The sequence below is a fragment of the Homo sapiens genome, chromosome 2 (assembly GCF_000001405.40).
Source record: "Homo sapiens chromosome 2, GRCh38.p14 Primary Assembly".
Classification (NCBI taxonomy): Eukaryota; Metazoa; Chordata; class Mammalia; order Primates; family Hominidae; genus Homo; species Homo sapiens.
This window is the reverse complement of record NC_000002.12, coordinates 1,210,122-1,234,379: the sequence shown is the minus strand read 5'-3', so window position 1 is coordinate 1,234,379 and position 24,258 is coordinate 1,210,122. Positions and strand designations below refer to the sequence as shown.

General features: G+C 46.5%; 1 protein-coding gene across 16 annotated transcripts in view; it reads right to left on the bottom strand.

Moving 5' to 3' along the window:
• The window catches only part of SNTG2 (syntrophin gamma 2), a 416,765-nt gene that overhangs the window by 133,234 nt on the left and 259,273 nt on the right, over window positions 1-24,258 (bottom strand). The window lies entirely within an intron of this gene.

Sequence of the window (24,258 nt, the reverse complement as noted above, 5' to 3'; positions counted from 1 at the left end):
AACTGTGAAAGTTGTTGACATGAATGCTGATGGCAGATACTAACATGTTAATGAAACAGGGAAAGAAAGTTCACAGCGTGGCTCACTGTTGGTTCACTGTTTGGTTTATTGTTATAGAAGCCGGGTAACTAGTGTAAGTCACGCAATCTGCTTTCAGGCACGTCTGGATGCAAGATCAGGAGCCGCTTCTTCCAGGGCATTTCTGGGCCTTTGTTTCCTCCGAGTTTCACGGTTTCCTCCGAGTTTCCTCCGTGGCTCACAGTTGGAACCCGGCCTCTCTACCCGCCTCATGGTGGCCGCTCAGGCCTTTTAGGATGGTGTTCACGTGGCCAAGGTCATTATCGGAGCTAAAATTCACAGAGCATCTGCTGCTCAGGAGCTAACATGCTCTTTGATGGACACACATGAGATTGTAGGAAGCTGCTGTAAGCAAAGCCACACCAAGTGAAGGCAGAGCGCTTGGCACCCCGGGGTCCACCGAGAAGAAACCAAACCAGCTCCCAGACACTCGCCATCCATGGGGAAGTCAAGCACTGACTGTGTCGGCACTTTTGAAAAGTCTACCCTCCTCCCAGGGTTTCCTCGTGCCCTTAGAGAATTTTTCAATTCCAAAGAGAAAACTGAAAATAGACTTATACTCTAGAAAGTGAATCAATTCAGTTTTTGGCTAAGAGAAATAAATTTATTCCAATAACGTTCAAAGCACATGTCTTAACGTATTAGGACATTAAGGAATTGAAGTTACGTGCTCAGGTCTCCACCTCCTGTGGAGGACAGCCAGTCTGTTTAAGCCGTTCTTCCTGCGCTCTTGACTGTGGGCTCAGTGCCAGCCTCAACCCTGCACCCTGCGGCTCCTGCCGGGAAAAGCCCCACAGCCCAGCTCTCATGTGCCCGGTCACACTGCCTGCCTTCGCTGCGGTCTTCCTGTCCACATGCAGAAAGGCCTCCGAATCCCGCCCACACCGCTGGGAATCTTCCTGTCACAAAACACACCTCAACAGATTTGACCCTTTTTCAAATCATCTGTTTCAGCGGAAACCAATCACAGAGCATTAGCAGTTGTCATTAAAGCCCCAAACCGAGACCCCTGCTACATCCGCTACCAATGACCACTCTTCCAACCTTCTGCTTCCCTTGTGCTGTGGGATTCCAGTAACTATAAAATTTGACCCTAAAAACTGAGAATTCTTAATTGCTCGTCAAAGCTTCAATGCCGGAGAAAGTCAAAATGTGTAAATCGCCTTTTTAATAAGCTGTCCAGTTTTTAAAGAATAAATACATTGGAACGTACAAAATTTAACCAAGGAAGCTTTCATCCATAAATGATGGCTGGTGGCCTTCATTACAACCACAGCCTGTCACTCCCTGTCGGCTCTGGCCACCACCTCCCTCTGTGCCTGTGGTAACAGAGAGGAAAGGTGTGCATTGCACACATGCCTGTTTACTTTAAGCCTTCATGCTTTGGAAAATAAGGAGAGTGTGCATGTGTGTGTGTGTGCATGTGTGTGTATTTTAGCTCATGACTGAAAATTACGAGTACTCGAGACAAAAACAGAACGTGTATGTTTCAGAATTTGAAAAATCTTGAAATTTCGTTCACATATTTTATTTTAAAACTGTCTCTGTAGTATATTATTTTTTAGTACAATTTAGAAAAATATATTTTTTCTACTTCCCTGTCATGCAGTGGCATTTCTAAATAGTCCATATTAAATATTAATAAAGAGGGCTAATTTAAGTTCAGGAACTATGTAGTAACTTGTTCATTAAAAAGTCATGGTGGGCTGGGCATGGTGGCTCATGCCTGTAATCCCAGCACTTTGAGAGGCTGAGGCCAGCAGATCACCTGAGGTCAGGAGTTCAAGACCAGCCTGACCAACATGGTGAAACCCCGTCTCTACTAAAAATACAAAACATAGCCAGGCATGGTGGCGGGCCTGTAGTCCCAGCTGCTTGGGAGGCTGAGGCAGGAGAATCCCTTGAACCTGGGAGGCGGAGGTTGCAGTGAGCCGAGATCATATCACTGCACTCTGGCCTGGGCAACTAAGTCTCCGTCTCAGGGGAAAAAAAAAAGTCATTTTTACCAGAAATTCAGGCCACAAATAAAGTGTTCACTCGAGACAAAGAAAAGTTCAATAGGTCCAAGAAAGAGAATTTCTCCCCTGTGGTGTCTCACAGGGCACCTCCTCACCCTTCTCTGTCACTTCCCATTGGTTCATGAGAACAGGGTTTGGGTCTTCTGAGCCCCTCACTTCCCCGGGCAGTGCTGCAGAAGCAGGAGAGGCAGGAGGCCCCATCCGTGCAGGCCATGCTGAGGCCAGTGAGTGGGGCACTGGAGCACGATGTCCAGGGACTCCCTGAAGGCCTCCCTATGGATGGGAAGAACAGGAAGCAGCCTTCAGGAATGCTGTGCACGTCCATGCATCTTGCCGTGGAGCCATCACGAGCCTGTGTGTTTGCTGAGGGCCTCAGCACAGAGGGCGTCCTGCATTTGTTCATTCCACCACGGCCAGCACTAACAGCCCTGGCACTCAGTAGGCACACGTGAGTGTTTGCTTTGTGAGTAAATGTTTGAGAAGACCCAGCAGGATTCCAGCACCTGGGTTTGTCACGGGAAGGTGGTGTCTACACTCCCCTCTGCCTGCTGCCTGCTGGTAGGACTGACTCCACCCTATCTCAGCCACGCTGTGGGGTTCCCTCATCTGACAATGGGCTCACACCACTGGGCTGTAAGAAGGAAACAGAGGAGGGAGGTGAAGGGAGGAGCTCATGGCTGGCATATGCACATTTAGCACATCCTCATGATCATTTTCCTCTCCACTGGGGACCATCTGGAGCGAGGGCACAGTGCTGCATTGAATGGCTTGTGCTTCCTTTCATACCCACACTGCGGGGCATGTCACCTGATTATAAGAACTGGTCATATATGATAGTGGCAGCAGTAGCTGTAACAACAACAGAGAACTAAATAAAGGCCATCACTCATTACGAGCTGGCTTTGTGCCAGGCTCTATCCTAAGTAATTCACGTTTCGGATCTATTTCACCCCCGCAGTGACCCTATGGAAGAGGCATTGTCATTATCCTAAGTAATTCACCTTTTGGATCTATTTCACCCCCGCAGTTACCCTATGGAAGAGGCACTGTCATTATCCTAAGTAGGTCACCTTTCAGATCTATTTCACCCTCGCAGTGACCCTATGGAAGAGGCACTGTCATTATCCTAAGTAGGTCACCTTTCGGATCTATTTCACCCTCGCAGTGACCCTATGGAAGAGGCACTGTCATTATCCTAAGTAATTCACCTTTCGGATCTATTTCACCCTCGCAGTGACCCTATGGAAGAGGCACTGTCATTATCCTAAGTAATTCACCTTTCGGATCTATTTCCCTCTCGCAGTGATCCTATGGAAGAGGCACTGTCATTATCCTAAGTAACTTACGTTTCGGATCTATTTCACCCTCGCAGTGACCCTACGGAAGAGGCACTGTCATTATCCTAAGTAACTTATGTTTCAGATCTATTTCACCCCTGCAGTGACCCTATGGAAGAGGCACTGTCATTTCAACTGCACAGGGTACAGGACAGTAGGTAGCGGGGGCTTGTGCCACTGGCCGGGCTGAAGAGCTGCTGAGTGTGGGGCCCGGGCCTAGGCTTGGGAATGTCTGGCGCCCCACGCTGTCGACCAGGGCACTGTGCTATCCGTAAGGTGGGACCCATGGATCTGGGCACTGCGCTGCCCACAAGGTGGAATGGTTATCTGCGTTTACTCCAGGGATGCACAACCAGCATCCAGGGGCTCAGTGCTTCTTCTTGGTTATCTGAGATCAAACGAGACCAACCAATTGGCCTCGACCACCCAGGTGGGCACCCCCAGCAGCAGGCAGGACAGAGGGTGATCTGTGATCACAATGGGACTTCGCTTTTCATCCAGGTGAAGGCATCACTCACAGAACTGTCCCGAAATCTTCTCGGCTTCAGCATCGGCCTTTTCTTCTCTGTAAACTGCTCCTGAGTCCCGGCCCCCAGACATCCAAGTTTCCAGTGCCCGTCCCTCTGATCCTGGCTGCCCGCGCCATCTGTTTATAAAATTGTGTCTGATATACCAGGCAGGTCATCATAACACAACAGCATGCCTAAGTTTGCTCACTGATCTTTGTTTCCTTTTTCCATTTCAAAGAATAAAACTTCATCATTAAAACAATGCTGTATCCTGGTAGTGAGAGGTGACAGCGTGCTGGCAGTACTCACAGCCCTCGCTCGCTCTCGGCGCCTCCTCTGCCTGGGCTCCCACCTTGGCAGCACTTGAGGAGCCCTTCAGCCCACCGCTGCACTGTGGGAGCCCCTCTCTGGGCTGGCCAAGGCTGGAGTCCACTCCCTCAGCTTGCAGGGAGGTGTGGAGGGAGAGGCACGAGCGGGAACGGGGGCTGCGTGCGGCGCTTGCGGGCCAGCTGGAGTTCCGGGTGGGCGTAGGCTTGGCGGGCTCCGCACTCGGAGCAGCCGGCCCTGCCGGCCTCGGGCAATAAGGGACTTAGCACCCGGGCCAGCGGCTGCGGAGGGTGTACTGGGTCCCCCAGCAGTGCCAGCCCACCGGCGCTGCACTCAATTTCTCACTGGGCCTTGGCTGCCTTCCGGCGGGGCAGGACTTAGGACCTGCAGCCCGCCACGCCTGAGCCTCCCACCCCCTCCATTGGCTCCTGTGCGGCCCGAGCCTCCCCAATGAACACCGCCCCCTGCTCCACAGCGCCCAGTTCCATCGACCACCCAAGGGCTGAGGAATGCGAGCGCACGGCGCGGGACTGGCAGGCAGCTCCACCTGCAGCCCCGGTGCCGGATCCACTGGGTGAAGCCAGCTGGGCTCCTGAGTCTGGTGGGGACTTGGAGAACCTTTATGTCTAGCTCAGGGATTGTAAATACACCAATCGGCACTCTGTATCTAGCTCAAGGTTTGTAAACACGCCAATCAGCACCCTGTATCTAGCTCAGGGTTTGTGAATGCACCAATGGACACTCTGTATCTAGCTACTCTAGTGGGGCCTTGGAGAACTTTTGTGTCAATACTCTATCTAACCTGATGGGAACGTGGAGAACCTTTGTATCTAGCTCAGGGATTGTAAACGCACCAATCAGCACCCTGTCAAAACAGACCACTAGGCTCTACCAATCAGCAGGATGTGGGTGGGACCAGATAAGAGAATAAAAGCAGGCTGCCCAAGCCAGCAGTGGCAACCCGCTCCGGTCCCCTTCCACACTGTGGAAGCTTTGTTCTTTTGCTCTTTGCAATAAATCCTGCTACTGCTCACTCTTTGGGTCCACGCTGCTTTTATGAGCTGTAACACTCATCACAGAGGTCTGCAGCTTCACTCCTGAAGCCAGAGAGACCACGAGCCCACCAGGAGGAACAAACAACTCCAGACGCACCGCCTTAAGAGCTGTAACACTCACCGCGAAGGTCTGCAGCTTCACTCCTGAGCCAGCGAGACCACGAACCCACCAGAAGGAAGAAACTCTGAACACATCCAAACATCAGAAGGAACAAACTCCAGACGCGCTGCCCTAAGAGCTGTAACACTCACCGCGAGGGTCCGCGGCTTCGTTCTTGAAGTCAGTGAGACCAAGAACCCACCAATTCTGGACACAGTAGCCTGCATGAATCCAGAGTGAAAATTATCTGGACTATCAAATGGAACATGGGTGGAGGCTGCACACCTGACAACGAACGGAGCAACAGAAGCCGTGGCCGCGCTTTTACCCAACACCAAAGTCGGCTCCTGTCCCTTTAGTCCACAGCTTCCTAAAACCAAGTGGCTCAGGGCCCGGGACACAGCAGTAATTTCTAAGTAACGTGAGAAAATGTTGAGATCTGTTGATAAAAGGAAGCCCAGAGCAGGCCCTCCAAGGTGGGCAAGAGCCTGGGTGTGCAGGCATGGACCATGGCAGTGGAAGTTGAGGGTCTCCCAGGGGCTGGACAGCTGTGCTGAACGGGGCCTGGGTGAGAGAGAGGCGCTCCTCCCCCCAGCAGGGAACCACAGCCAGAAACCAGATGGATCAGGGCCAGAGCCGGCCTTGCAGTCCATGTTCTCTGATCCTAAGAGAACCATATTTTGTAAATGTCAAAGCCACATTTTAAGCACACATGTGAACATGGGTAATTCACAGTCCATGACCACGAGGGCCCCCCGCCAGCTCGAAAGTGCAGACGTGAGTGGAGCTTCATCCCACGCTGGGAGGTCACAGGGCTGAGTGTGCACGGGAATGACAGAAGCACTAGCTGAGATCTGAGACATGGTACAGCACTCAGTCCACACAGTGCAGCACTCAGACACTCAGACCCCAGCCTTGAGTCGCAGAAAGGCCTGGACACTGCAGGTGCTGTCTCATCCCCAGCACGAGGCGGGAGGCTTCATCCCCTGCACGAGGCGGGAGGCTGCCAGCCTCTCAGGCTCTCTTCCTCATTTTTAGAATGGAGTCCGACCTGCCCAGCAGAGCGGTGTTTGGTGCCACAGAATGCAGCAAAGTGCCCTCGCTTACACCCAGCAGAACTTTAATAGCGGCACCAGTATGAGCAGAAGAATCACCAGGGAACTTGTTTATATTTTATACAAGTTGACTGTAAAACATAATCATGTCTCAGAGGAAATGATTAATTCCACCAGAGGACAGACACCAAGGCTGACCGCAACAGGCCAGTGCTACCTTCAAGCCCTAACTTTGGTGGAGACCCAAGCTCAGCTTCCCCAGCTGCGGCTGCACAGGCCCACACTCCAACAGGCCTGAGGAGCTTGTGTGGAAGCTGCAGGACTCCAGGGTGGATACCGTGGGGAAACGGATTCGTGGCGGAGCGGACGAGCTCAAAGGCTGTCTGCCGTGACTCTCCCTCCCACACCAACAATGCTGTTGATTAGAGTCACATGGGCGGCTCCTCCACTTCCGGAGCGAACACCCACCTGCAGCAGCAGACGCTGGACACCAGCCAGGGGCCGACTGTCCTCCACCCATCCGTGGCCTCGGCATAGCAGCCATCAGCTGGACAGGCTGTTAGTCCTATAGGAATCCTTCCTACCCTGGAAAGTGCACACAGTAGGTGCTCAATTCCTGCTTGGAAATAAATGCATGTTTTGTTTGCTTCTGTTCAAGAGCTATTTCATCATCACTGGAAGAGATTTTGTATGTTTGGTTTGGTTTTGTTGTTAAGGGCAAATGCAGAATTAACTTAGGAGAAAACACCGCAGAACCTCTTTCAGTGATGATAAAATAACTCTATAAAAATGTAAACACTGATTTAAAATACACAGTTGGGGTGGTGCTGAATGTACAAGGACACTTATACATCGCACCTCTCCCTTAGGGCAGACAGCACGCAGGGCACCTGCTTTCTGTCCAGGGAAGCAAGGCAGCTGCCTGTTACAGGTGCTGTGAAGTGTGTCTAATGGGCTTGATTATGGGCTCAAATTCCTCATGTTTGAAAAAACAAACACATTTTAAGAGTTCACTTTACATAATGAGTGAAGTTACTGTTAAAAATTCAAAATACAATCAATTTGAAACAGAGATAGATTTATTGTCTATAAAAATAAAACAGTCTAAAAGATTCTTACAGGCTAAATTTACTGGGACTAAGTCCTAATCTCTCAAAATTTAGTTTTCTATAACTATTTTGCATAAGAGACTTGCGGTTTTACCTATAGCTGAAGAAAATTAAGATAAGAAGCCTGGCTTGGTCTCCACCTTTTCTCTCAGTTCAGTCGAAGAGTGTCCTTCACAAGCTGGGTCCCACGTTTCTCTCGGTGTGAGCCTTGGTGTATCACAGGCTTCCGTGTCCAGGAGGTCACTGTCATGGCCTCGAGGCCTTGCACCTCCATTTAGCAGAGCTTTGGTTTCCTGTGTCTTTCCATACTGATGGGGTGATTCCAACGGAAATGCCGCCTGTATTCCCAGTTGGTGCTGGGGATGGAGCGTGGCACGGCCCCACCCACTGCTGCCTATGCTTCCGATTTAACCTCTATGAAGCTGGGTGACTGGCAGAATGGGCGCCATGTACATGGAGAACATTCTGAGCAATCATCCCGTTTTTGAGAAACACACATTGTGTTCAACAGTCCTCCAGGTCCTCTTCCAGGGATCAACCTTCATTTTAAAATCCAAATCCACCTTTCTAATGACATAACCATGTAGGTTTCCTCTAAATTGACAATAACCTAACAGGCTATCTCAAAGCCCATGGAATCAAAATCAATGGTTATAAACCAGTAGAATTTGGTATTGGTCAATAGAATGCCTTACATTCCAACTTTAATGCATTTTTGAAAGTTTTAATATGTTTTTGAAAGTTATCATTTAATCACATAATCCACAGCAAGGTTTTTTTTTTTCTTTTTTCCAGTGTAGTGAATGGTATTAAATGGTGGTCAAGAAATGTTTCCCACATAAAATCTGATCACTGAATACACGGCTGGTGTTAATGGGCCTCCGTGTGCCCTCAGATTGTGCCCTGCCCAGGTGTGCTAAGCTGCACACACCGTGGGCTGCACCTCCTGAGTCAAAGATGAGAAAGACCTGGTGTCACTCAAGAGCAGGACGAATCATCCCTGAGCATCTGCACTTTTCTACTTCATTCAGATCCCTGGGAACGAACGTCTCTGCAATGATTTCTTAGTCCAGACGGTGCTTAAATTCCACCCCAAAATGCAGACGTGAGTGGAGCTTTGTCCCACACTGGGAGGTCACAGGACTGAGTGTGCACAGGAATGACAGAAGCGCTGGCTCAAAGAGCCGCCCGTCAATGTTTCCTGCCAACCGTAAGCTACGGACTTTACAGAACCACAAAAGCAGTAAAAGCCGACTCTCAAGAGAGGACCGGACACAAGGATGCGCAATTCCACCTCCTGGCACTGCTTTTCTGCGGCTTACTTTACGACCGGTCAACGATGTGCAAAGAATTCTTAGGCTCCTTTCACAAAAGCATCCTGATTCTTTTCATACTCCTGCATACGTCTTTAAATATTTAATACTTTTGGGAGAAATGAGGACGGATAACACATAGATTACTAACAACTGCATTTAAAACGAGGATAAAAAGAACCAGCTGGCACATATTCTTGCACACCTTGTAATAAACACCGTGTAAATTACTTTATATGCTGCAGTGGTTTTAGCCCTCACAATCATCCTATGAAGAAAGTCCTGTTGTTATAATGTTAAAGATGAAGAAATCAAGGAGGATGTAGATTCACCAATTTTCCCAAGGTGACTCATAAGGCCAGAAGTGGTTAAGGCAGGGACACACATACACAAGTGAGCTTTATAAAGAACTCAGTCTCCGATTCACAACCTCAGTTCTTAACTAACAAAGAGCCTCTTCTGTACATTAAAGCCACGTGAATGGCCACTGCTTACACAGCTCAATGTTTTCCTGCCTAACACTGCATTTTTCCTATATATTTGTTTAGGTGTTAAACACAACTGCACCTGCTGGAGGGGTTCCGTGAACTCCAGGAACGTAACCACTCTTGTGACCTGAGTTATCACGGCTTCCATTCTTTCTCCTGGGATGGAAACGCTGCGTCTGAAATGAGCCATAGAGTGAGGCGAGCCCCGATTCAGAACACCCAGGCAAGGCCTGCAGACTGGACCCAGTCCAGGTAAACATAAAAATCTCTACAACAGGAAACCATTCAGCCAGGAGGATAGTTTTGCGTTTCCAGATAAGACTGAGAATGAGGTGAGGGGAACATGGAATGCATTCTGCAGATGCCGCCGAGGGTTCTGTCTGTACCTCCTCCTCCCACGCTGGGCACGCGGCATCAGAGAGGCCTTGGGACACTCCAGGTGAGGGGCCTGGGAGGCAGAGCATGGGGAGATTTGGTCTCTGAGGTAAGCACAGAGCAGGTAACAGGAGGGGTGGCCATGCAGCAGAGGAGGCGAGAGGGGGATGAGGAGGCTGGGAAGCCAGGTCAAAGGTCAAGGGTCAGGTGGCATCCCCAGGACTGTGCTCCAGGCAGAGGCACAGATAGAAGAAAAAATGAAATTAAATCCAGTTTTTGAAGAGTGTGACTTCCATAGTAATGGAAAAGTTTGGCCTAATTCCTAAAAGTGGAGTGTCCCTAGCAACTCCCATCCCCAAGTCTGGGGTCAAATTCCCAGTGGATTGAACGTGGCTCCCCAAACGTTCAGTGTTGAAATCCTAGCCCCCGAGGCAGTCGTGTTGGAAGGTGGGGCCTTTGAGAGGTGATGAGGTCCTGAGGGTGCAGCCTGACGGGGTCTGTGCCCTTACAGAAGAGGCCGCAGGGAGACCCTCACCCCTTCCTCCACAGGGAGACACAGAGAGAAGGTGCCATCTGCAATGCAGGACAGGCCCTCACCAGACTGACCACCTGACCCTGCACTTGCAGCCTTCAGAGCTCGAGGGACGCATGCCTGCTGCATAAGGCCACCCATCTGTGGAATTGGGCTACGGCCTCCAGAGCTCGAGGGACGCATGTCTGCTGCATAAGGCCACCCATCTGTGTGCTGCGTAAGGCCACCCATCTGTGGAACTAAGGTCACCCATCTGTGGAACTGGGCTATGGCAGCCCACACTGACTAAAACGAGGTCTTCAGAGCCAGGTTAGTGTGCTGAGGTCATGTACACCCTGAAGGTCTCGTGCCTTTAAAACCTTCTCCATCCACTCTTTCCACCAGACACGCCTGGCTCCTCCCTCTTTGGGGATTAATTTGGCCCAATACGAATGATGTCACTGATAGTTCTCCCCTTTCAGCATCAGGAAAACTCAGTGACTTTGGTTCATGTTTAGTTGTAATGGGGAGGGTGCCAGGAAATTGAGGTGAGGGGTTCATGGTAAAATGACTCTGGCCACAGCTGTGGTTGTGGGGCTAGGAGCACAGGGATCCCAGGATGCACTGAGGAATCCGACGCAGTTGGCAGAGACACAAGATCAGTGCCCGGGCTGCAGGCAGGACAGGGAGACGCCCTCCATCACTGCGCTGCTTTCCTCTACAGCGATTCAGCACCTCCACGGCAGGACAGGGAGACGCCCTCCATCACTGCGCCGCCTTCCTCTACAGCGATCCAGCACCTCCAGCAGCAGGCAGGACAGGGAGACGCACTCCATCACTGCACCACTTTCCTCTACAGCGATCCAGCACCTCCAGCAGCAGGCAGGACAGGGAGACGCCCTCCATCACTGCACCACTTTCCTCTACAGCGATCCAGCACCTCCAGCAGCAGGCAGGACAGGGAGACGCCCTCCATCACTGCACCGCTTTCCTCTACAGCGATCCAGCACCTCCAGCAGCAGGCAGGACAGGGAGACGCCCTCCATCACTGCACCACTTTCCTCTACAGCGATCCAGCACCTCCAGCAGCAGGCAGGACAGGGAGACGCCCTCCATCACTGCACCACTTTCCTCTACAGCGATCCAGCACCTCCACCAGCAGGCAGGACAGGGAGACGCCCTCCATCACTGCACCGCTTTCCTCTACAGCGATCCAGCACCTCCAGCAGCAGGCAGGACAGGGAGACGCCCTCCATCACTGCACCGCTTTCCTCTACAGCGATCCAGCACCTCCAGCAGCAGGCAGGACAGGGAGACGCCCTCCATCACTGCACCACTTTCCTCTACAGCGATCCAGCACCTCCAGCAGCAGGCAGGACAGGGAGACGCACTCCATCACTGCACCACTTTCCTCTACAGCGATCCAGCACCTCCACCAGCAGGCAGGACAGGGAGACGCCCTCCATCACTGCACCGCTTTCCTCTACAGCGATCCAGCACCTCCAGCAGCAGGCAGGACAGGGAGACGCCCTCCATCACTGCACCGCTTTCCTCTACAGCGATCCAGCACCTCCAGCAGCAGGCAGGACAGGGAGACGCCCTCCATCACTGCACCACTTTCCTCTACAGCGATCCAGCACCTCCAGCTTAAGAAGCCCCTCCTGTTCATTTTCATCACAAACTCTGATAGCCTATGAAATCTCCACACACAAAGGAAAGAAAAATCAAATTAATGTTTAAAGCAGACAACTTGTTACGAATTTATCTTGCTTGGATACGAAGAAAAGATCTTAATGTCCAAAAGCGGAGACTTTGCAGCATCTTTTCATAGACAGGGCGCTAATCCCTTACAGTCAAAATGAAAAAAAACGAATAATCCTCAGAGGTGAAAAGAAAAGATCCTCGACTGAGAGGCTGCAGAGGGAGAAAAAGAGAGACAAAGACAGAGATAGGCAGAGACAGAGAGAGACAGAGAGAGACAGAGAGAGACAGAGAGAGACAGAGAGAGACAGAGAGAGACAGAGACAGAGACAGAGAGAAACAGAGACAGAGAGAGACAGAGAGAGACAGAGATAGGCAGAGACAGAGAGAGACAGAGAGAGACAGAGACAGAGACAGAGAGAGACAGAGACAGAGACAGAGAGAGACAGAGACAGAGACAGACAGAGACAGAGAGAGACAGAGAGAGACAGAGACAGAGACAGAGAGAGACACAGACAGAGACAGAGAGAGAGAGAGACAGAGACAGAGACAGAGACAGAGACAGAGAGAGACAGAGAGAGACAGAGACCGAGAGAGAGACAGAGACAGACAGAGACAGAGACAGAGAGAGGCAGAGACAGAGAGAGACACAGACAGAGACAGAGAGAGACAGAGACAGAGATAGAGACAGAGACAGAGACCGAGAAGAACCGAGAGAGAGAGAGACCGAGACCGGGGGGGACCGAGACAGAGGTTGGGGGGAACCGGAGCACCGACACGAGACACAGACAGAGACAGAGATACACAGAGCGACAGCGACAGACAGAGACAGAGAGAGAGAGAGAGGACACACAGAGACAGAGATAGAGACAGAGATAGAGAGAGACAGAGAGAGAGAGAGAGACAGAGAGAGACAGAGAGAGAGAGAGACAGAGAGACAGAGACAGAGAGAGACAGAGACAGAGACAGAGAGAGACAGAGACAAAACCAGAGACTGAGAGGGACAGAGACAGAGGGAGGGGCAGAGAGACACAGAGAGAGGCAGAGACAGAGGCAGAGACAGCAACAGAGAGACAGAGACAGGGAGAGACAGAGACAGAGAGGGACAGAGAGACAGAGAGAGGCAGAGACAGAGACAGACCTCTGAGAGACAGAGAGAGGCAGAGGCAGAGACAGACTCAGAGACAGAGGAGCACCCGGGGAATCTCGGAAGCAGTGTCACACAGTGCGGGTGGGGACCACTGCCCCAGAGAAAGCGTAACGGAGCCTAGAGAAGTGAGTTGGGAGAATGACACAGATGCAGAGTGATTTCTCAAGAATGATTCTGAATTCCCAGGAAAGAAGGAGCAGATGCAGTTCCACCCAGAGAAGGCAACTCAGAGCTGCTCCGCACATCTGTTGGATGGGGAGGGGTGTCAGGGTGCCTCCGAAAATCAGCAGCCCTTGTTCTCTATCAGAGCAAACTCAGGAGAGCTACCTTAGGTAGTCATTCATCTGCTTAGCAGTGGGTCCACCCTGATTCACCTACGTGCCCGTGGAGGGGGCGGCCCAGGGCTGGGCACCACGGAAGACACCCCCACCAGAACTGCCGGGTGTTGAAGGCAGCACTGGCTTCTGAGAAGACTTAAGGACCTCCAGATCTTAAACACGTGGCCCCTGCCCTTATCAGAGTAGGACACATGCCAGAGAACTGGGCGTTTGTAGAGATCTAAGTGGAATGGGATTATTCTCTTTCTGTCAACATGAACACCCTAATCTTCTATCGTCAAAAGAAAGTTTTCAGAAAATTTAAAGATGGCGTAATGAGAAAGAAACAGCAGCTCTGTCACCTGCTAGCAGCCAGCAGGGCTGTGGGGTTCCTCTGAAAAACACAGAGTCCCACATGTCATCAACCTCAGACCGGGGCTCTCCAGGGACATGAGGCAACAAGGCAGAGCAGCAGCAGGGGACACACGACATGCCGTCCAACCACAAAGGTCCCATAGGTCCCTGGCGGGCTGCTGGCCTGAGGGAGGGGCTGCTGCTCCCACAAGCCTGGCCTGGATCCTGCCACTTCCTGTCTCATGCTCCTGGATAGAAATTAAGCCAGACACTGCTGACACAGCCCACGCTCTGACGGCACCCAGTGCAGGGCAAGCCCTGATCTCCTGGCCCTTCCTAGAACCACCCAACACATTCCCACATTCCATAACAAGCCCCCTTTCCTGAGGCCCCACAGCTGCCAGGACACTGTCTCCCTGGAAGCCCGGGTAAGGAGTGCCCTGTGTGCGGGACGCGCGAGCTCAGAGCATCGAGTGCTGTGCTCTTGGGATGGACGAATTCCAGAAAACTCACCACAGGATTCTTTTTGGTATGACTATTTAAACATGATACTCTCCTTTGCAAAACAAATTAGAGTATTTAGCAGTATAATTCTGACTTGCAGTATCACTTTTCAAAATCTGCTTATCTGTAGTAGGTCTGTTTCCATTATGACTACTATAGAGCCCATCTGCCTTCTTCTTCTGAAATAAGGTGAGTGCCTACAAAGCAAATGAAATTTTATTGTAACTCACAAAACATAATTTCATTGTATTTTTAAAAAACATGGTAGATGTGGGGCAAAAAGACCCCTAAGCTAAGGGTTTTCTCTCTTCCTCCCTTACTACTTAACTCCCTCCCTTTCCCTCTTCCTCTCCGCCTCCCCTCCCCTCGCCTCCCCTCCACTCCCCTCCCTTCCCTTTCTTTCCTTCTATGTTTTAGAAAAAAAAAAGAAAGTCAATTACTTTTAATCAATTTGAGGCCTGCCTAAAACAAGAGGCATGGACAGGGCTCCTGTGAGCAGATAAATAAAAAGCAGTTCCTCCTGTAAAGAGTTGCATAAAAAGCAGTTCCTCCTGTAAAGAGTTGCAAAGTGATGCACAGAAATTCTGTGGCACAGAGATTCTGGAGCTGTTTAATTGCTCATCTTTGGGGATAATCACTCAAATCTGAATTTCCTGCCTTCTGTTCAGTCATTCCTTATTCCATAAACAATTTGTATTGGTCCATTCTCACACTGCCATAGAGAAATACGCAAGACTGGATAATTTATAAGGAAAAGAGGCTTCCTTGGCTCTGGTGGCACAGGTTGTACAGGAAGCATGGCGACATCTGCTGGGACTCTGGGGAGGCCTCAGGAAACTTACAATCATGGCGGAAGGCAAAGGGGGAGCCAGCACTTGACATGGGCATAGCAGGAGTTGGAAGGAAAGAGGGCAGGTGCCATACACTTTTAACAGCTGGTTCTCATGAGAACTCACTCACTATCACAACAGTACCGAGGGGTTGGGTGCTAAACCACTCATGAGAAATCTGCCCCGTGATCCAGTCACCTCCCACCAGGACCTACCTCCAGCACTGGGGATTATATTTCAACATGAGATTTGGGTGGAAACCCAGACCTAAACCGCATCACAATTAAAAATCACTGAACTCCTGCTGCTTCAAACCTCCTTTAAACGTACAGTTTTATTTTTTCTTACCTTCATAAACTATCTTAGAAAGCAGTAAAGTATTATATCATCTCCCACCCTACTTGGTTAAACCAGCAAAGAAGCCATCACAAGAGCCCCCATGAGTTACCTAGGTCATGGCCCCAAGAGGGTGAAGCAGGATTAGAAATCTCTTAGTTCCTATCCCCGTACTATTCCTTCATACCACCTGCTTCCCCAGGGGCACATCCCAGAGGCACCACAGCTCTTCCTCTTTTCTGAGCCTCTTGTGAAGCTTCCTCACTTGCAAAATGATTGTGGATACTTTTCAAGCACAGACATTTCTCTTGTTCTTAAGTATTTCTTCACTCTCTATTTTCTGAAACACACATGCTATGGGCAGGAGCCTGGCTCAAATCCAGCTTTGTCCAACGGTACCATGTGGAAGAACAGCCAACCATCATCCAAGCCACTTTTGTTTTAAAAGGATGAATTTCTAAGAAGCGTGGACGTGCTATGGGCTTTCCAGAGGGAAACAGAGGTTGAGACACTAGAGCAGGCAGAGTTCTAAGGCAGCCCCCAGTTCTCAGACCTTGGTGGAAACATCTGCTCCAGTTATTCAATCAACAGAAACTAGGTGTTTCTGTGAAGGGATTCTGCAAATGCAATCAACGTCTCAACTCAGCTGACCTTGAGTTAGGGAGATTTATGCAGGGGTACAGCCTGAACACATGGCCCTTTACGTCTGGGTCTAGAGGTCAGAGTGAAGGAAGTCATAGATTGGAGGCTTATGGGGTTACCTGTTACCTGCTGCTGGCTTGAGGGCAGAGGGTGACCATGTCAATGAACATGGTGGTCTCTGGTGGTGGAGAGCAGCCCTTGGCTGACAAAGGTGGGGAACTGAGTCCTATAAAGTCAAGGGACTGAATTCTGCCAGCAACCCTGAGTGAGCCTTGAAGATGGGAACACAGCCCAGCCGACACCTTGGTTTCAGCCTGGTGAGATCCCAAGCAGAGGACCAGCCGGGAGCTGCCGGACTCCTGACCCATGAGGACTGTGAGATAATAAAACAGTCTTGTGTTACCTGCTAAGTTTGCACAGGTTTGTTACATGGCAATAGAAAACTGATATGGTAAAGACAGACAAAACTCTAGCATCTCCACCACCATGGCCACCCCATCAACAATGCTTTTCTTCACCTGATGTCAGAGAAATGTCTGCATAACAGACATTTCTACATAACAGAAATGTACATACATTTCTACATACAATGTACTACATTTCTACATAATAGAAATGTAGACTACATAATGTCTATATAAGCCAGTAGTCAGGATCGCATGGTTATGCTAAGTTACCTGTGATGCTGCATAACGACCTACCGAGTGTCACAGGACAGGGGTTATTTTCCTGTTGGAGAACTTGAGGGAAAGCCCCACTCTGTGGCATCTGCTGATGTCCATTAGGAAGAATGCTTATGTTTTTATGTCTTTTTTAGTTTCATCTCAATATTCTCCCTTCAAATTCTTAGTGAACAATCTTTTCTCGTACTGTGTAGCCAATGATTTAATCCTCATTCACAATGACACATAATTTATCCAAACGCATAGTTCCCATTTTACCAAAGAACCACTTGAGTATAAGCTTGATCTGACAATGGAATGGAGGAAAATAACTTCTGCCAGTGCACGGGCTTGTAACATGTTGGAGGCAAATGGAAATAAAAACAGTTGCACTTATTACATGTGATTTGTATCATATAAATACATATTTAAAATGAATTAGACTTCAGTATGCATCTACTCTTTATAGTCTTTTTTTTTTAAAAAAAGAACTGAGAAAACTAAGGAACCTCAACCATCATTGGTCTAATTACTTAACAAAAGAAAAGACCCAAGGGTGATGTCGGCACATGGTGGAATGGGAAGTCCCCCTGCTCATATTCCCCACAGCAACAATGAAGGGTGAAGGGTGAAGGGGAAGCAAGCTTGGCCCTTTTTCACATGGCAGCAGGAGAGAGAAGAGTGAGGAGTGAAAGGGAAAGAGCCCCTTACAAAACCATCAGATCTGATGAGAATTCACTCGCTATCATGAGAACAACATGGGGGAACTACCCCCATGATCCAATCATCTCCCACCAGGTCTCTCCCTAGGCACGTGGGATCATGAAGATTACAATTCAAGATGATATTTGGGTGGAGACACAAAGCCTAACCACATTACTACTGTTCACACAAGGACCCAGAGGGACTCTCCTGTCTGTGCCTCCAGCATGCTGGTGGGTTCCCATCCCACTGTAGATGCTGAATGGGCCCTGGACAATTATATGTCAACAGATTAGATAACCTGAGAAAATCAACAAATGGGATCTAATTAAACTAATGGGATCTAATTAAACTAAAGAGCTTCTGCACAGCAAAAGAAACTACCATCAGAGTGAACAGGCAACCTACAGAATGGGAGAAAATTTTTGCAATCTACTCATCTGACAAAGGGCTAATATCCAGAATCTACAAAGAACTCAAACAAATTTACAAGAAAAAAACAAACAACCCCATCAAAAAGTGAGCGAAGGACATGAACAGACACTTCTCAAAAGAAGACATTTATGCAGCCAAAAATCACATGAAAAAATGCTCATCATCACTGGCCATCAGAGAAATGCAAATCAAAACCACAATGAGATACCATCTCACACCAGTTAGAATGGCAATCATTAAAAAGTCAGGAAACAACAGGTGCTGGAGAGGATGTGGAGAAATAGGAACATTTTTACACTGTTGGTGGGACTGTAAACTAGTTCAACCATTGTGGAAGACAGTGTGGTGATTCCTCAAGGATCTAGAACTAGAAATAGCATTTGACCCAGCCATCCCATTACTGGGTATATACCCAAAGGACTATAAATCATGCTGCTATAAAGACACATGCACACGTATGTTCAATGTGGCACTATTCACAATAGCAAAGACTTGGAACCAACCCGAATGTCCATCACTGATAGACTGGATTAAGAAAATGTGGCACATATACACCATGAAATACCATGCAGCCATAAAAAATGATGAGTTCATGTCCTTTGTAGGGACATGGATGAAGCTGGAAACCATCATTCTCAGCAAACTATCACAAGGACAAAAAACCAAACACTGCATGTTCTCACTCATAGGTGGGAATTGAACAATGAGAACACCTGGACACAGGAAGGGGAACATCACACACCAGGGCCTGTCATGGGGTTGGGGGAGGGGGGAGGGATAGCATTAGGAGATATGCATAATGTAAATGATGAGTTAATTGGTGCAGCACACCAACATGGCACATGTATACATATGTAACGAACCTGCACGTTGTGCACGTGTACCCTAGAACTTAAAGTATAATAAAAAAAAGAAAAAAAAGAAAAAAAAGAATTAGTGTAAAACACGCTTTTAAAAATGTTAAAAAAAATTCCTAGAAACATACAACCTATCACAATGGAATTAAGAGGAAACAGATCATCTAAATAAACTAATAACAGGTAAGGAGATCAAATCAGTAATAATAATTAACAAAAATAATAAATCTTTCATCAAAGAAAAGCTGAAGACCAGATGTCTTCACTGCTGAATTCTACCAAATAAATAGTGAAAAACTTATACCAATTCTTCTTAAATTCTTCACAAAAAATTGAAGAGTAGGGAACACTTCCAAACTCACCTTTATGAGGCCAGCATTATCCTAATACCAAAGCCAGATGAGAACCTTACAAGAAACAAAAATTACAGGCCAATATCCTTGATGAACATACGTGCAAACATCTTCATCAAAATACTAGTTACCTGAATTCAATAGCACATTAAAAAGATCAGTCACCATGATCAAGTGGGATTCATGCCTTGGATGCAAGCATGGTTCAACACATGCAAAATCAATAAATCTAATTCACCATATTAACAAAATGAAAGACAAAAACCATAACATTGTAGCAATAGATGCAGAAAAACATTTGACAAAATTCATTATCCTTTCATCATCAAAGCTCTCAACAAATTAGGTATGAAGGGAATGTACTTCAACACAATAAAGAACACGTGTGACAAGCCCACGTCTAATATCATACTTAATGATGAAAAGCTGAAAGGTTTTCCCTTAAAATCCAGAACAAGATAAATATGTGCACTCTCACCACATCTATACAACATAGTACTGGAAGTGCTAACAAGAACAATTATGAAAAAGAAATAAAACACATCTAAATAGAAAAGGAAGAAGTGAAATTGTCTCTGTTTGCTGATGACATAAGCTTATATATAGAAAACTCTAAAGACTCAAAAAAACTGTTAGACTTAATAAAGGAATTTAGAAAATTTGCAGGATACAAAACAACACTCAGAAATCAGTAGTATTTTGTTCACTAACAATGAACTATACAAAAAAGAAATTAATAAAACAATCCCATTTACAGTAGTATAAAAATATAAAATACCTAGGAGTAAATTTAACGAAAGAGATGAAAGATCTGTACAATGAAAAATATACATTGATAAAGGAAATTATAGATGACACACAAAAATGGAAAGATATCCTGCATTCATGGATTGGAAGAGTTAATGTTGTTTAGATACCATACTACTTAAAATGATATACAAAATTCTATGAAGTCTCTATCAAATTCCAATGATATTTTTCAAAGAAATAGAAAACACAATCCTAAAATGTATATGGAACCATAAAACACTCTGAATATCCAAACTATCTTGAGCATAAAAAGCAAAGATGGAGGCATCACACTACCTGATTTCAAAACATATTATAAAGCTATAATAATCAAAACAGCAAGGCACAAGCATAAACACAGGTACATTGGCCAATGGAACAGAATAAAAAGCCAGAAATAAACCCACAGATCTATGGTCAATTGATTTCAACAAAAGTGCCAGGAACATATCATGAGGAAATGACAGTCTCTTCCATATATGGTGTTCAGAGAACTGGATATCCACATGTGGGAGAATGAAACCAGAAGCTTATCTCACACCATATGCAAAAATCAAAATGGATTAAGGAGTTAAATGTAAGACCTGAAACTATAAAACTACTAAAAGAAAACATAGGGAAAAGCTCCACGACTTTTATTTGGTTAATGATTTCTTGAATATGACCCAAAAGCACAGGTGACAGAAGAAACAATATCTTTGTGAGGTTTGCATGTTTGCTCTGTGTCTGTCTGCATGGGTTTTTCTAAGCACTCTGGTTTCCTCCCCACAAAGACATGCAGGTAAGGTTAATTGCTGTGTCCAAATGGTCCCAGGCTGAGTGGCTGTGGGCATGTGTGAGCCATCCTGCAGTGGGATGGCATCCTGTCCAGGGCTGTTGCCCAGCTTGAGCCCTGAGCTTCCAGCACAGACTCCAGTCTCCCCAACCCTGAATGAAATAATTGGGCAAATAATTATCTTACTTGTTTTTATTAATCTTTCTTAAATGTATGCAAAGCTCATATTTATTTCAATGTTTAATATTTGAAGTGTTTTGGTCTTTATTTAGAAGTTTGGTGATATTTTGTGACCAAAAATATGCTGTAAGAATCTAACTCTTATTTATAGCTATTAGCCTATGGGAAAATTGGTTTCTTTATACATCTTTTCACTCCAAGTTGCAGTTTCTGAGGACCAATCAATGATGTTAAGTGAGTAAGTACTGTATTGTATATTTCAAAATTGCTAAAAGAGTAGATTTTAAATATTTTCACTACAAAAATGCTAAGCATGTGATGTTACTGACATGCCAAGTAGCTTGATTTAATTATTCCATAATGCAAACATGTATTGAAACATAACATTGTACATTAATTATATATGATTATTATTTGTCAATTTTTAGAAAGGACCCAGAAGGTAGTGGTTATAGATTGAGGTCCTATACTTGGACAAGGACAGAGTCAGAGGGGACACCCACAGGATGCTGGCTTCCAACCTCTTCATCCTATTTATGTTTCCATTATATGATATCTAAAGGTTCCTCCTGGGCTACAGCTTACAGCTTTTGTTTTAAGATTCTAAAACCTGTTTGATTTAGAATTGACAATTTCTAAACTTATTCCTTACCCTCCTTAGACTGAGGAGCCCTCAGGAGAAGATACACAGGAATTTTAGAACTCCATCCACTGGGATCAACACACCCAAGTCTCTTCTCTTTTTCATCCATTTAAAATGAGACCTGAGGAGCTTACAGGTAAGGTGGAGCTAAGAACAGCATCTCAGCCTCTAAATGGGACTTTGCACAAATATGTTTCAGAACAAACAGGTTTTATAAAATTCATAGCTTAAGCCCTTATGCGTTTTATTATTTGCCCTTTCCTGCCCATACTAAATCTTGCTTAAAAATCATAAAACAGTCAGCAAGCTAGTAAGACATATTTGCCTTTATAAAACAAAATATTCTTGTCTTATGAAAAATTATAAACCTTTCAGTTTGCTGTTACAGTGTGTATTGGTCCGTTCTTGCACTGCTGTAAAGAAATACCTGAGAATGGGTAATTTATAAAGAAAAGAGGCTTAACCAGCTCACAGTTCTGTAGTCTACATAGGAAGCATGGCAGCTTCTGCTTCTAGGAAAGCCTCAGGAAACTTCCAATCATGGTGGAAGGCAGAAGGTGAGCGAGACACCTTACATGGTAGGAGCAGGAGCAAGAGAAAGAGAGAGAGTGGGGAGGTGCCACACAGTTTTAAATGACCAGATATCAGGAGAACCCACTCACTGTCAGAAGCACAGCACCAAGGGAGATTTTGCTAACCCATTCATGAGAATCTGCCCCATGATCTAATCCCACCAGGCCCCACCTCCAACACTGGGGAATACATTTCCACATGAGGTTTGGGTGGGGACACAGATCCAAACCAAATCAGTGTGTGATAGCTTTTGTAACAGAAACAATCTGAGGCTCAGGCAGTCGGCTGACTTCTTGGGTTCCATTTCATTCTCCTGGATGTCATGTATTTATCCCAATGATTGTGGTATGAATGGCTTAGTGGGTCAAAATATTTTGTCACCAAGAATAACACATGTGTTTCTACATGTTCTCAAGCTGCCAGAATGGGTTATCAAGTCTGCATTTAGTTAAGAATTACTAGTGATATGGTTTGGTTGTACTCTTGCCCAAATCTCATCTTGAATTGTAGCTCCCATAATTCCCACGTGTCATGGGAGGGACCTGGTGGGAGGTAATTGAATCATGGGGGTGGGTTTTTTCCATGCTGTTCTCATGGTAGTGAATAAGAATCACGAGATCTGATGGTTTTATAAAGGGCAGTTTCCCTGCACACATGCTCTTCCCTGCCGCCATGTAAGACATGCCTTTGCTCCTCCTTTGCCTTCTGACATGATTGTGAGGCCTCCCCAGTCATGTAGAACTGTGAGTCCATTAAACCTCTTTTTCTTTATAAATTACCCAGTCTCAGGTTTTTCTACACAGTAGTATGAAAATGGACTAATACAAGTAGAGACCCTATCCTGTCCTCAGAGTAGGAGACATTTCCATCTTATGACCTGAATTCATCCTTAAACCAAAGCTAGAACAGCCAATCTTCATCACATTCAATGGCAGATGGGCTAGGAAGTGTGTAATGAAGTTCAGTGGCTCTATTTTTCTAAAAACCCATTTAATTCAAATACGCTAATAGACAAATGTCATTTCATGCACTATTTCCCTCTTTGTCAAGAGAGATACATGCCCAGATCTCTACTTTGTTCCCAAATTAACCCCAAACCAAAGAAACATGTTGTAAGAAAGCCACAAGCACACACTTTAAAAGGAATTCACAGTTAGAGCACGAACTGTTAAAACATTCTGCTATATTTTACAAATGGCTATTTACCTATCCATCTATCTGTATCTCTGTAATCTATCTATATTTCAGCCCCTCTATGACTGCAATAAATCATCTATATATCTACAGTCAGATGTTACTTAATGATGGGGATACATTCTGAGAGCTGTGTCATTAGGTGATTTTGTCATTGTGTTTACATCGTAGGGTGCACTTACAGAAACCTAGATGATACAGGCTACAACACACCTAGGCTACATGGTATAGCCTATTGGTCCTAGGCTACAAACCAGTACAGCATGCGACTATGCTGAATACTTACACAACTGTAACACAATCGTATTTGTGTATCTAAATACACAAAACCAAGTATCTGTGTATCTAAGCACATCTAAACTTAGAAAAGTGAAAGTAAAAATAGGGTATAAAAGTTAAAAAATGACACACCTGTGCAGGAAACTCACCATGAATAGAGCCTTCAGGACTGGAAGTTGTTCTGGGTGAAGCCATGAGTGAGGAGTGAGTGAATGTGAAGGTCCAGGACATTACTGTTTCCTTTTATATGATTGGCAGTGCAGTAGGTTTGTCTACGTCAGCATCACCACAAACACGTGAGTCATATCTTTCACTGTGAGGTTACGATGGTTGATGTCACCAGGCAGTAGGGATTTTCAGCTCCTTTACAATCTAATGGGACCACCATGGCATATGTGGTCTGTCCTTGACCAAAACATTATTATGCAGAATATTATCTATCTGTCTGTCTGTCTATCTACCTATCCATCCATCCATCCACTTTATCTATCATCTATCTATCCACCCATATTCACCTACCTGTCTTTCCATTTCTCTAGCAATACACACATCTTTTACTAGGTTTGTCTCTCTTTACCAAAGATGGGCACAAATCTGAAAATCAAGCTTACTGTCCCTGTTCCTGCAATGGGATCATAAACATCCTTCCGCAAACATGAACATCCTTTGTGAGAGGCTGTACAGCTAATACCAATTAATATAGAAAA